Raw genomic sequence first — 13,725 nt, 5'->3', positions numbered from 1 at the left:
TGCCTAGGGCACAGCATTGTCTCATTAGAAATCCTCAGCTCTAAAGACGTGGGTGTGCCCACCTTCATACACCCATTTGACATAAGACATGACTGAATTTCAGAGGTGTTTTGCCCTACAAGCACTTACTAGAGACATAATTGATTATTATAGAATACCAACAGATTTGGAGCAATTAATTTCTTCTACCTTATTTACTCTAACTTAAGCAAAACATGATTAGTAAAAGTATTTTAAGATATGTATTTCCTCTAGAAAATATTTCACATTTTTTTCTCATAAAATGAATCATAGTGATTTGAAAGTCCCAGATGGATAAATAGGAAACTTGTTACAGCTGAAATTGAATTCATTCATTATAAATCAGATTGGATAATGCTATTCAAAGCTTCATATTTCACCTGGAAAGAAATCTAATTAACAAGATTGCTTTTTACAAATTAATTTCCTGACCTATTTTCTTATAGAGTTGAAACTAAACTCAAATATATTTGTTCTAATTACTTAATACTTATATTCGAGCTTGAAACTCTTATATTTGGGATTCTATAAGCCGTGATAACACACGTAAAACCAAGTGAATTTTACAATTAAAATTAGAAATACTGAGAGTAGCTTTGAGGAACATGTATTATCATGCCAAACGCAATATTTGGGCTTATCTTCCTCCCAATTCTAATTGTTTAAGGGAACTTTTGTGTGATGTTTTGATTAAGAAGTCCTTGAGGGAAACAAGTATCTTCATAAGGAAGTTCAAGGTGTTAAAACCAACAAAAACCTTCATAAATGATGCAAAGCAAGGCTTCCTGAATGTGTTAGCTGGAGAGCAACACTTCTATATAAAGCTTCTATTTCATCCCTGCTAAAGTGAAGATAAAATTCCCTTTGAGATAATTATGAAGTCTGCAAAATTTGTGTTCTTCTCAGATGCAATGCATGCTAAGACCTCAGCTCTTGCTTGGCCAATTAAGGGTTGCATTTACTGGGAATGCCTGCAGTACTCTCAGCAGTGTGGTTTTGCAAGTTTGGGCAGAATTCAGGGGTTCATTGGTGGTTGGCCAGAGCACAGAGGGAGGGTTTCTGTGTGGTAGTTCAATTTAGGAACCAGGAAAGACATATACCAAAGTGTCCATTATGCTAGTAATAAGCCAGGCATGGCTGGCAGCCATGAGGAAGCAGATTTGGTAGGAGCTAGTCAGGGTTCCATGACACTACTCAACACAGGGGCTCAGGGTGGAGCCACTTGGAGAAAAGATGGCAATTGGGGTCTACACCCAGACCTGGGAGACACTGAGGGTCTAGGGAGCTTAACTGGATTCCAAGCCCTCATTATACTTCTTATTTCATTCAGTAGCACCAGAGGCAAGACTGAGCCTAAGAGCTGTTTTTTGGGGTGTATGTCAGAAAGCCTAGGATTATGGATCTAGGAAAACAGGCAGTGGAAATAAAGTTAAGATTTGCCCCTCTTCCAGTGCCCTTTATTGACTCGGGGCCACCTGTGCTACTTTCTTCTTAGTTTCTTCACCTCCCTCCCCATGTGAAAATACTGATTTGGTATTGCTATTTATTTTGATGATTAACTGATATGTACTGAGCATTTTATAGGCTTGCCTACCCACAGCTCATTTTGAAGACCCCCTACTTCTAGCCCAAGCTAAGACAGCTGTCAAAGGTAGACATCTGAAAGCCGCTAACCAGGACCTCTGATGGAACACTGCTACAAAAGACCCTGCCCCTAAATACACGTTTCTAGCTAAGTTTTCTTCTCTTAGGAACTGAAACTGAAAGACAGACGTAAGTGGATAATTGATGGGGCACTGGAACTGCAAAGTCATGTCAAGTCAGTCTGGGGCAGCCATTTTGGGACATGAAGAGCTGAAGCTATGGAAGAGTAGAAATTGGGAGCAAGGACAAGATAATTAGTAGAAAACGTACAGAATAGCGGCACAGAAAGTCTCATTTTTGTGGCTATCTACTGTCCAGCCCCAGAGTCCTGGATGTCTGGCCCAGCTGTATTGGGGTTCCTGTACTTGGGTTTCTGTGTGAGATTCCTGCTCACAAACTGCTTGAAATGCCTTGAGGAAAATATCATTCCCTGTAACAAAATGATCCCCAGTCTACAAGAAAACTATTTACTCAACTAACCATTGTATTTTTAATCTTTGTGTTCAGTTGCAGCAAAGATGTTTTATTCACTGAAGGCAGAAGACAGAATCATAAAATCATCCAGGCCTATTTTTAAAGCTGGCCCTACAGATAAAACTGATTTTCTCCTTGGGTGGATGAATTATGGAGGGTAAAGAGCAGAAGATTGTGTGTGTGTGTGTGTGTGTGTGTGTGTGTGTGTGTGTGTGTGTGTGTGTGTGTGTGTGTGTATTGTATATATTTTGCTGCTGGCTTTCCCTCTGTTCCTTTAAGTATGCACGGGCATGTGTGTGCACCTGCTGTAAGCCTACTTCTGTCGCTGCTGGCTGATCTTGCCATGGGCCCATCCATCCACAGGATTTGCAACACACTCAGCTCTGGCTCCGTGCCTCCATTTCTCACACCCACCTTCATTTTTACCTAATACTTGCCCTTTTTTTCCTCTTCCCTAAGACCCCCTAGATCTATATTTTGTGCTTTCTGATCCATTAATCTTAAGTACCCTAATGAAGCTTCTATCCCATAAGTCGCTTATCTCTCTGGAGAATATTAGCCCAAATCTTATAGTTGACCCTTAAATGACATGGATTTGAACTGCACAGCTCTACTCATGCAGAAATTTTTTTCAAACAGATAAAAAACACAGTATTCATGGGATGCGAAACATGCATATACAAAGGCCCAACTTTCTCATACCCAGGGGTTCCACAGAACTGACTTTGGGGACTTAAAAATGTATGGATTTTGGTATGTGCAGGACAGGGTTGTAGGGTCCTGGAACCCATCCCCCATGTATACAAGGGACAAATGTGAATTATTTGACCTAAGATAATGACTTTCTGATACAGATTGCTGGAATTTTCTTTCATTAACAGTGCCATATCTGAATGATGGATCACAGATTTTGAAAACAGCCCTACTGTATTTCTACTCACTCATGCAATATCCCAGAATCAAACGGTGTTTGATAAATGCCATTTACCTCTGAAGGGCTTCTTTCCCCAGCAGGAAGTCAGGCTTTCCTCTTGGGCACTACTATAGTATCCTGCTAAGACATCATAATGTGCTGCAATTACTTGTTTTCATGTTTATTTCCTTTGAGACTGAGCTCTTTTAGAATCTTTTATAGATTCAGTGCACAGTACTGAGACTAAATATGGATTATAATAGGACCTTCCTTTTGTGGTTCTTAGAATTAAATTAAGTGCATGTAAAGCATCTGCAGTGTTGTAGATGTCCAATAAACATCAGCTGCTATTGTTAATAGTATTAATTTAATAAAACTTGTGCCCTTACACCCAGGTTTCTGTCTTGGCTATCCCTGTGGATGGTATGTCATGCAGAGACAGGGAACATAGGAGATGAAATTTAGGGGCTGGAGCAAAATAATGAGCTCATTTCTGGATACTGGCTTCAGTGCTTGTGAAGACATCTGGCCACGAAGCTGGTATTGCCTTTGACTTAAAAAAACATACACACCTAGCTGGGACTCAATACATGTTGACTAAATGAAAAAATGCTCATTCAATAAATCATTAATTCATCCAGGTTCTTGGCCCTGACTTAATCTATTTAAATAATTTTAAGGGAAGGGAATCAAAGCAAACAATGTTTACTTTAAAATGTATGCACCATTAGCACTACTAGGAGTGTCACAATACCCCAAAACTGGAAAACACTGATCCATGTTTCAAAATCCTCGAATTAACTACTGATTTGGTATTTTCTAATATGGGACTTTAAGGCCCTGTATGAATTACCGATGTTCACTGGGTAGCAATCAATTTTGAATTTATTGCTCAAACATTCAAGCTGACCACGAATGTTCCCTAAGAACAAGATGTCTTGATTTCCTGATTAACTCTTCTTGCCCATGATAACCCTTAAGTCTTTCCCCCTCCTTTTCTCTAAAAATATGATGATGAATGGGGAATATAAAAGAACAGATTGCATAGCAACCTGCTTTCTCTGGGTCCATCAAAGAGAAGAGTCAAAACAGTGACCAAGTGGCAAGACTTAATAACAAGGCATTTGATATAACTTTTCTTACCTGAAGGGCTACTGTAAATCCTTTATATTTACTTATGTTTCTTTATCTCTGTAAGTAACCCTTTCCTGTTGCCACCATCCTTATTTTCTTCCTCAGGATTCTACCCTAACAACCTCAGTCCTTAAAACATACCTGTGCATTTTATTCTGTAAGATTTTTACTCATAAAGTTGCATTTCAAAATGATCAAAACCATGCTCCCATTTCTAGATGAGTAAAAGACTTGATTATAGAAAACAGCTCAGGTCTTTAACCAGTCAGGTTCTATTGTGTGAAAGTCACTGAAACATCACTATGGAAACCACAGCTTGTAGCAGGAAGTAGTGCCAGTGACTCAGCAGGTGGAACAACTTCAAGGCAGTACTACCAAATGCCCTGACAAGATGCCAGGCAAACATCTTACTACAGTCCATTCATTTTTTAGGTGGTATATAAACTGGGCTAAGGTACACTCAGATTTTAGATGAGCCAAAACATGAGCAGGAAAAGCAGAAAAAGAGAAGATCAGAGTGAAGTGGTGAAAGGGAAAGGTAAAAAAAGTAAGGTAAACTTCTATTTTACCAACTTTGTAAATCACTTGAAAACTGGCCCAAGTAACTGGAATTGATTACTCAAGGGAAGGCTTTAAGAGAAGGATGCTCCTTTCTGTTAGGCTTCTTTTCAGTGCCTGTAAAGGTTGACATATTGCTACATGATGAAACAGCTTTCCTACCTGGAATTATTTCCCCTTAATTAATTATAAGCTGCTCAAAATTTGCAGTGGAAGACAAAGAGGATGAGTATCTGTTGTGGTCCTTCAGGGAAAAGGGCTACTGATCACATGACCAACCTCTACCTTCTAAGAGATGTACATGGAACCATGGAGGAGTTGCTCCCAAAACCTGCGAGAGACAGATCTATGTGGTGCAAAAAGGTGGACGGTGGCAGATCTAGAAATGTGCTGCTTAGAATTTCTTCAAAAGAACTCACTACAGGAAGCCCAGTTGACTGGCAGTCCTAGATGCCACCCCTCTGGATTCACCACTACATTAGCTGCAAGGCCCCAGGGCTGCTCCCTGCCTTGGACAGCACAGTGATGATATGAGTGCAAGCACAACACAAACTCCTCTGGCTGGCAACTTTGGCCTAAGGACTCCCCATCAGCCTGGCCCAACCTTCTGTAGGACTGCACCAACAGTCTGAGATTCCTCTTACCCAATCCTCCTTCCTTCCATCTCTTACCACAGGTGTTAGGTTTATGGAAGTCTGAAGGCTCTTCCTGCCTACTCCTACTCCCTCCGCTTTGTCCTACACAAGTGAGTTCCTCCAATAAATTTCTTGCATGTCTAATACCATCTAGTCATCTGTTTCTTGAAGGACTCAAACTGACAGAGGAGCTCACATTTATGGATCAGTATTTGCATATTCTTTGAAACCACACCCAAACTAACAGCAATATAGGTGCACAAGTGAACTTGGTTCACCCTAAAAATCAAGTAATTTGAGTTCTACAATAGATCATCAGGCTGGGCATGGTGGCTTACACCTCTAATCTCAGCACTTTGGGAGGCCGAAGTGGGTGGATCACCTGAGGCCAGGAGTTTGAGACCAGCCTGGCCAACATGGTAAAACCCCGTCTCTACTAAAAACACAAAAATTAGCTGGGCATGGTGGCGGGTGCCTGTAATCCCAGCTACTCAGGAGGCTGAAGCAGGAGAATTGCTTGAACCTGGGAGGCAGAGGCTGTAGTGAGTCGAGATTGTGCCACTGCACTCCAGCCTGGGTGACAAGAGCAAAACTCAGTTTCAAAACAAAACAAAACAAAAAACAAATCATCAGAATTAAAAACTATGGTTAATCCCTTACCAGCCTTAAGAAAAATATATTTCCGATATCCAAGAAAGCATAAAAAAAGAAAAAAAAATGCAGCTTAAGAAATAAAATGTTACCAAAAGAGTTGAAATCTCCTGTGTACTGCACCCTGACTGCATCCTCCTCCCACTCTTCAGATTTTGATCTTTATCATTCCCGTGCACACTGCACATTTTTGCTATAAATGATGTGTACAGTCGGCCCTCCATATCTGTGGGTTCCTCGCCCATAGACTCAACCAACTGTGGCTCAAAAGCATTTGGAAAAAAGAAATTGCATCTGTACTGAACATGTACAGACTCTTTTTTTCTCATCATTATTCCCTAAACAATACAGTATAACAACTATTTATTTAGCATTTACATTGTATTAGGTATTATAAGTAATCTAGAGATGATTTTAAGTATTTGGGAGGATATGCAGAGGTTATATCCATATACTATGCCATTTAATATCAAGGACTTGGGCATCCTTGGATTTTGGCATCAATGGTACATCTTGAAATCAATCTCCCACAGATACAGAGTGATGACTGTATTCTTAACACATTCTTTTCTTTGGATTTTAAAATCTCTTCTTTACTTAACATCTCCTAAAATTTGGATTTATACATATTTATAATAAAGTTTATTAAGTTGATGATTAAAAAAAGAAAAACCTATGTTACACAGAGCTATTTAGGATTTAGTGAGATTGAAAATTATTTACCAAAAATAGGCCAAAGTTTCAATGCTGAAAGGAACTTTTAATATCTTAACTTGACCCAAATTATATTATTATTTATAAAAGTTATATAAATGCAGGCTGATTGTTTTAAAAGAGTCAAAAAGCCAAATATAAGTAAAGCACTAGAAATAAATTCAGTTGTAAAAAATTGACATCATTATTCTAAATGTTATGTGGAATCACAGGAAGAAACATCATTGCAATCATTATTCAAAGTAATATTAAAGATAACATAAGAGATGTTTGGTCTTAAATGTCAATTTGAATGTATAGTGTCTACAATAATAGATCAAAGAGAAAGTAAGTATATCTGTAATAAAAACAAGAAAAAATGAGTTGCAAATACTGTATTCTACAATGAAAGAAGAATGCAGATTAAGGATAAAACAGTCTTACCAACTAGGCCACCTTTAAGGATCATTTTTCAGGGTAGCTAAAAGGAGTAACAATAAAGCTCTACACATATAACTAAAATGTTTGCAATTAATCTAGTCCCAGCACTTTTATTTGTAGAGTTCTCAAATCAAAAGTAACAAATAATTATACATCAGGATTGTTAGGAATACCAATTATTTTACAACTGCCACTACGTGTTTCTTCTTCTCTGACACAAGTGGCACAGATCCAGGCTTGCTGTGTTTAATACGATTCACTTCCCTAGAAATAAAATATACAAAATATAAGCAAGTTATGGGAACTCATCTTAAAGAAAACTTTCTCAGAAAAATCAAAGCATTTTCTTTCACTAGAAAAACACCTATTTAAAAAAATATTTTCACGATGACAATAGGTAAAAGGAAGCTAGTACCAAGAAATCAACTTTACTTATTTAATTGCTTCTTATCATATTTACCTAATAGGGTCCTTTACTAAGTTTAAAAACCTTCCACAGTTAATAAAATTTCTAAAAGTGATTCTACTGCAACATCTACCCAAAGACAGAAAAAAAGAGCCATTTGTATATTCTAATTGAAAAATAAAGAGCTCTTAGAATTTCATGCATGACTTCAAGTATTTCAAAGAGAAGAATATTTCACGGGAAATGGTGGTGGTGGTAGTAGCTCTGCTCTATATCCAAAATGATAGATGTCATGTTATAATAAAGTATATCAGAACACTTTTTACTTAAGAAAAGAGCTCTACTATAGATTAATTCTTTAACTTGGAAAATACACAAAATCTCTTAATTCCAGCTACATCAGAAATTATTTTTTAAAACATTTTTTACAATAATTTTTTAATATGAGCAAGTGTTTTCTTATTTTGGTAACTCATTTTCATCGTTTGTCCTTTAAACATATTCTCAAAAACAGGTAATGGAAGTTCTCCCATTCTCAGATAGTCACTGCTTCCCTTTTTTGGGAAAAAGAAAAAGAAATGGCCTTCTGGGCGGGGCATGGTGGCTCACACCTGTAATCCCAGCACTTTGGGAGGCCGAGGCAGGCGATCACGAGGTCAGGAGATTGAGACCATCTTGGCTAACATGGTGAAACCCTGTCTCTACTAAAAATACAAAAAATTAGCCGCGCATGGTGGCGCGTGCCTGTAGTCCTAGCTACTCAGGAGGCTGAGACAGGAGAATGGCATGAACCCGGGAGGCGGAGCTTGCAGTGAACCAAGATTGTGCCACTGCACTCCAGAGCGAGACTCCGTCTCAAAAAAAAAAAAAAGAAAAAAGAAAAGGCCTTCTGTAGAAGTCTTCAAACACATCACTAACATACTATTAAATAATAGCACATAAACTACTCCCTTGAATGGCAGTTAACTTTGTTTTTGGTGAGATGAGAGCAGAAGTCAGAAAAGGGTAATAGAGTCAAATGCCTCAAAACATACTTTCGTCGACGAGCTTCTTTCATGATGCGCTGTTCCTGAATCTGGCTATAGATAGATTTTGGTAGATGTCGATGACGAGCTATACGTTTTATATGAGGATAATGCTGAAATTTCTCCTTCAATTTCTGGTTATAATCCTTGGCTGCTTTTTCTCGTGATGTAAGCTGAAAATACACATTTTGGTATCTTAATGAATAGTGTGTTGTTTTGCTTCAGTATAAAAAAGCTAGAAAGCACCCTTTTCCCCCTAACCTAATCTTTTATGATATGCAACCAAAATTGCCAATGTAATTCTGCACTTTACAAGGTTATATTAGTAACACTAGCTCTGCAAGCACTGAATTTCCTTTTAGGCAACACACTCGCCATGTAGATAGATGCCACCCAGTAGAAAGCAGCAGTGCTGAAGGAGTAGGGCCACGTGGATCACTGAGTTGGACCTTCCCTAGGCATCAATAACATAGAAAAGCACCTAAATCACTCACTCAAATTTTGGGGGTGGGTAAAGAGGTGAGTTAAACATAGTGAAACAGCAAAGAAAAAATAAGTATCCAATTCCATAAGAACTACCCTTTGTTTAACGAATGTTAAGGATGATACGATTTAGAGGAACATTTAATGATGGACCTAGGCACAATGCAATACTTATCAATCATTAAACCTAAAACAGAATTGCCTTTGATTTTCCTATCAGGACTAAGTAGAAAATAATTCACACTTACCCTTTCCTTCTTAAACTTAATATTTATTTCTAATATAAACACTCTGTTTCTTATAGAAAATATGGGACATTTAGAAAAACATCAAGAACAAAACAAAATCAACCATAATCCCCTATCCTGGAGGTAACCAGCCAATGATAACACCTGCTATTTTTTCATGGAATCTTTTTTAAAGTATGAAGCTTTCTGTATTTATTAAATGTTCCATTGTGTCTTTGATATTACAAGATCTCCCAGGGACTTGCAGCCTTTGAGTTGCTGGATGACTATTTCTCTAACAAGAGATACGAGCTCTAAGTTCTGAGCCTCTAGTTCCTGCATCTTCTGTCCCTACCTCAAGGAAAACACAAAAAACCAGTAAGACTCAATATTATCAAACATCTGAATTAACAAAGGCATTCTGAAGGTCTTAAATGTCAATTTGAATGTACAGTGTCTACAATAATAGATCAGAATGAAGCAAATAATTATCAATACAACCTTGTCCATTTATTGCTTTTTTTATCACAGCTATGTCAATTTAATCAAAATACCCAAAAATACCTAAAAGTAAATTTTCATAATGTAATATCTAATAAAATTAGAAATCAGCTTTATGACAATGAAAGAAAATGAATTCTCTTACCACACCCAATTTTTCAGAAGCATTAGCTTTCCACAGGCGAATGTTCATTTCATCAGATCCACACATAATATACTTGCTGTCAGAAGTCCATTTTACACAGATAACATGTTGCATTCTCTTTGTATGATATACCTCCCTATAGAAAACGAATTAAGTTAAAACCCTTTGGATTTTGGTACAGATTTTGAGTAACCACTGCCTATTAAGTATCAGGATACTATTTCTGAGTCCTATAGGAGTATAAAATAAAAACTCAAATTCTTGTCAATGTATTTTTATTGAACCCAACTAATAAGGTTCCGTGTTAAGTGCTGGGGTAGTAAACAAATTTCTGCTCTCAGAGAACTTACTATCTAGTAAGAGAAATAAATATGAACAAACTAAGCAAAACCAGATGTACAGAAAAGTTCACAGAATAACTAAAAGCATAAAATGCAAATAAAATATGATGTTCAACCAAGGTAACTTTGTAACAAAAAGAAAGGACTTGATCTTAAAAGGCCTCTTCCCCATATCAAATCAATTCAGGTCAACACACTTTTTTTCCCCTTCATTTTACTGAAAAAGAAAGAAATGCAATGGTCTTCAAAGAGTACCTCCTGATATGCTGAATCTAATGCCAGAATTTTGTTTTGGTTAAATTGTTTAAAAAGCTTAATTAATTAGACCAGCCTGCCCAACATGGTGAAACCTTGTCTCTACTAAAATTACAAAAGTTAGTTGGGCGTGGTGGCACACACCTGTAATCCCAGTTACTAGGGAGGCTGAGGCAGGAGAATCACTTGAACCTGGGAGGCAGAGATTGTAGTGAGCCAAGATTGTGCCACTGTACTCCAGCGTGGGTGACAGAGTGAGACTCTGCCTCAAAAAAAAAAAAAAAAAAAAAAAGCTTAATTAAAGTGAGTTGATGATTTACATGTGTGAAAAGGAAGGGAGGACTACAGAAGTGTCTGATAAGTTGAGGTAAGAATAATTTAATAGAGCCAGGTGCGGTGGCTCACACCTGTAATCCCAGCACTTTGGGAGGCTGCAGTAGGTGGATCACGAGGTCAGGAGATCGAGACCAGGTGAAACCCCATCTCTACTAAAAATGCAAAAAATTAGCCAGGCATGGTGGCAGGCGCCTGTAGTCCCAGCTACTTGGGAGGCTGAGGCAGAATGGCGTGAACCCAGGAGGCGGAGCTTGCAGTGAGCCGAGATCGTGCTACTGCACTCCAGCCTGGGCAACAGAGCAAGACTCCATCTCAAAAAAAGAAAAAAAAGAATCATTTAATAAATGGAGATGTCAAATATCATACCTATTTGGAAAGGCTGTGAAATATGCTAGAAGAATTCACAGGTGATACTATATTAGTAAGTGTTAAGAAAGGCATTAAAAAGCAAGTAAAATACAAGGTCAGAAAAAGTAAGATGAAACTTCTGGAGAAATAAATTTTCTGCATCTGGATTAAATTATTCAAAATGCAGAGTATATAAAGAGGAAGGAAACAGGCTCAATAAACTATGCACAGTAAAATAAAACTCAAACAGAATGACTAAATCAAATATTCATATCTATAAAAAATATCTCTAAAGTAGGCAAGGTGCAGTGGCTCATGCCTATAATCCCAGTACTTTGGTGAGAGGATTACTTGAGCCCAGGAGTTTGAGACCAGCCTGAGTAACACAGGGAGACCCCATAGCTACTAAAGATAAATTTTAAAAATTAGCTAGGTGTGGTGCTGCTCAGGAGTCTGAGGTAGGAGGATCACTAGAGCCCAGAAGACAGGGGCTGTAGTGAGCCGTGTGGCATCACTGCACTCTAGCCTGGCTGACAGAGCCAGACTCTGTCTCAAAAAAAAAAAAAAAAATCTCTCGACTATACTCACAAAACTGGTCTTTTACACTGTTTCTGATAGGTATGTTTTAAGCACTTTGATAAACCATTAGAAATTCATTTTTAAAAGAGAGGGGATGATTAAAAAGAACGTCCTATTAAAATGAAAACTAGATGAGATAGACTGCTTTTTCTTCTCCCGCTCAGTGCTCTGCTTTTGAAGACTCATTTCTTATAATCTCCACATACCTAAGAAGCCCTTTTTTCCAAAGCAGTATAATGCATTTGAAGTAGGGAAATTCAATCAGGTTTCCGTAACCATTAAACATAATCTGTTCATGCAGTAGACCAGTCAGATCCAACGGTTAGTCACTTAAGTAACTGAGAATCCTCCCCAATGGTAAACTATGCTGAGTTCTTAACTTCTAGATATGTTTATGTCTGCATATATGCTAAGTTTATTAAGCTCACCAAAAGTTCTACTATTAGGAGATAAATACATTTTTAAAGGCTTAAATTCTTTATATACACAGTCACACTAATTTTTCCATGTGAACACTATTAATTTACTTGTTTGCTCAGTAAATACTGAATGAACTTCCAACAGAAGCCTACTTTCAAATACTGACTTAACTGTAGTTTTAAAAAATTTACTCAAAATTTATTTTAAAAATAATATGCTTTAGCCATTTTAAGGTCTTTTAAAGGAAAATATTTTTTAAATACAGATTATTCACCCAAGCATGAGTTATTTGATGTTTATAATGATAGGAAACAAACCACAGAAACAAATTAGAACTAGCTTTCAAGCAGATAAAGGCAAAGGTCAGAGGGAACACCATTTATATCTAAACACAACAGGACGTTAACACATATTAAGACTGTGATTACAAAACCTCCAAATGACATCAGGAGACAATTTCTTAGAAATGAAATATAAGAACCCTTTTATACAATTTTGGAATAATGTGAGTTTTCTAGCTAGACCTACATTTAGCTGTCCACACTAGCTTTGGAATAATTCAGCCTGAACTCAGCTGCTGGCCCCTTGGGATCATAGGTAACTACACAGTCCTGTTTTTTTCTTTGTTCTCGTTTCATTCTTTTGTCTACTTATGTACCATGTTGGAAAAATACTATCCTACTACCTTTGGAAGTTGTGGTGCCAAGAAATGATGGAGGACCATATTCTCTTGATTCTCAACATTTTCCAGAGGTGAGAGAAATATGGAAGCTATTAGTCTTGCCTTGGGCCTAAGTGAATAATGCCAAAAAAACACTCATGACAATTTGGAGAATATCAAGGCAGCAACAAAGGAAGCAATAGTCACATAGGAACACACAGCAGAAGCTCTACAACAGAAATGATGAAATGAAGATCAAAGTCATCAGAACACTCCTGTCAGTATGCTTCTAACTGAAGCACCTTCATAATCAGATAAACAGTGATGAAGATAATTATCTGCTGACAATGACGATACATGGTGTAGAAATCCATATGGCTTCCTCAAATTACAGTGGAAAAAGACTTAAATATCACAAGTAAAAGAGCAAAGAGTTAGATAAGCAGATTGACTATGACCATGATCATCCAATTATCATAATTTTTTGAGAAAAATTATTTCCATTTATTTGGATTTATTTTATGGATGCTTCCAGGAACACATCTAAAGCATTACTAAGGAACAATGGGAATGTGTATAACAGCTCTTTGTAAACCATAATTCACTATACAGGGGGCTGTATCTATACAGGACTTAGTTTTTAAAGTCAGTCTGTAAAGTGAAAACTCGAGAACAAAATTCCCCTTGCAAACTCCTTAAAATGCCATCACTTTCTGTAAACTACCTCTTTACAAAAATAAGATATAATAGATGTATAAATAGATACTGTATTTAATAACATATAATATGTAGTAAAGGGCCAAACTATACAAAACACAATAAAAATCTTAAATA

General features: G+C 37.3%; 1 protein-coding gene across 2 annotated transcripts in view; it reads right to left on the bottom strand.

Moving 5' to 3' along the window:
* Window positions 1-6,769: 6,769 nt before the first annotated feature.
* Window positions 6,770-13,725, bottom strand: part of DCAF13 (DDB1 and CUL4 associated factor 13) — a 28,068-nt gene continuing 21,112 nt past the window's right edge. For both annotated transcript variants that reach the window (NM_015420.7, NM_001416065.1), the window contains 3 exons: window positions 9,952-10,087; window positions 8,605-8,768; window positions 6,770-7,428 (listed from right to left, as the gene is read on the bottom strand). In NM_015420.7, the coding sequence (NP_056235.5) occupies window positions 7,341-7,428; window positions 8,605-8,768; window positions 9,952-10,087 (388 nt within the window). In that variant the 3' untranslated portion in view covers window positions 6,770-7,340. The remainder of the gene's footprint in view (window positions 7,429-8,604; window positions 8,769-9,951; window positions 10,088-13,725) is intronic.

This window comes from Homo sapiens, chromosome 8, assembly GCF_000001405.40.
Source record: "Homo sapiens chromosome 8, GRCh38.p14 Primary Assembly".
NCBI classification, from domain to species: Eukaryota; Metazoa; Chordata; class Mammalia; order Primates; family Hominidae; genus Homo; species Homo sapiens.
This window is presented reverse-complemented; position numbering and strand designations above follow the sequence as displayed.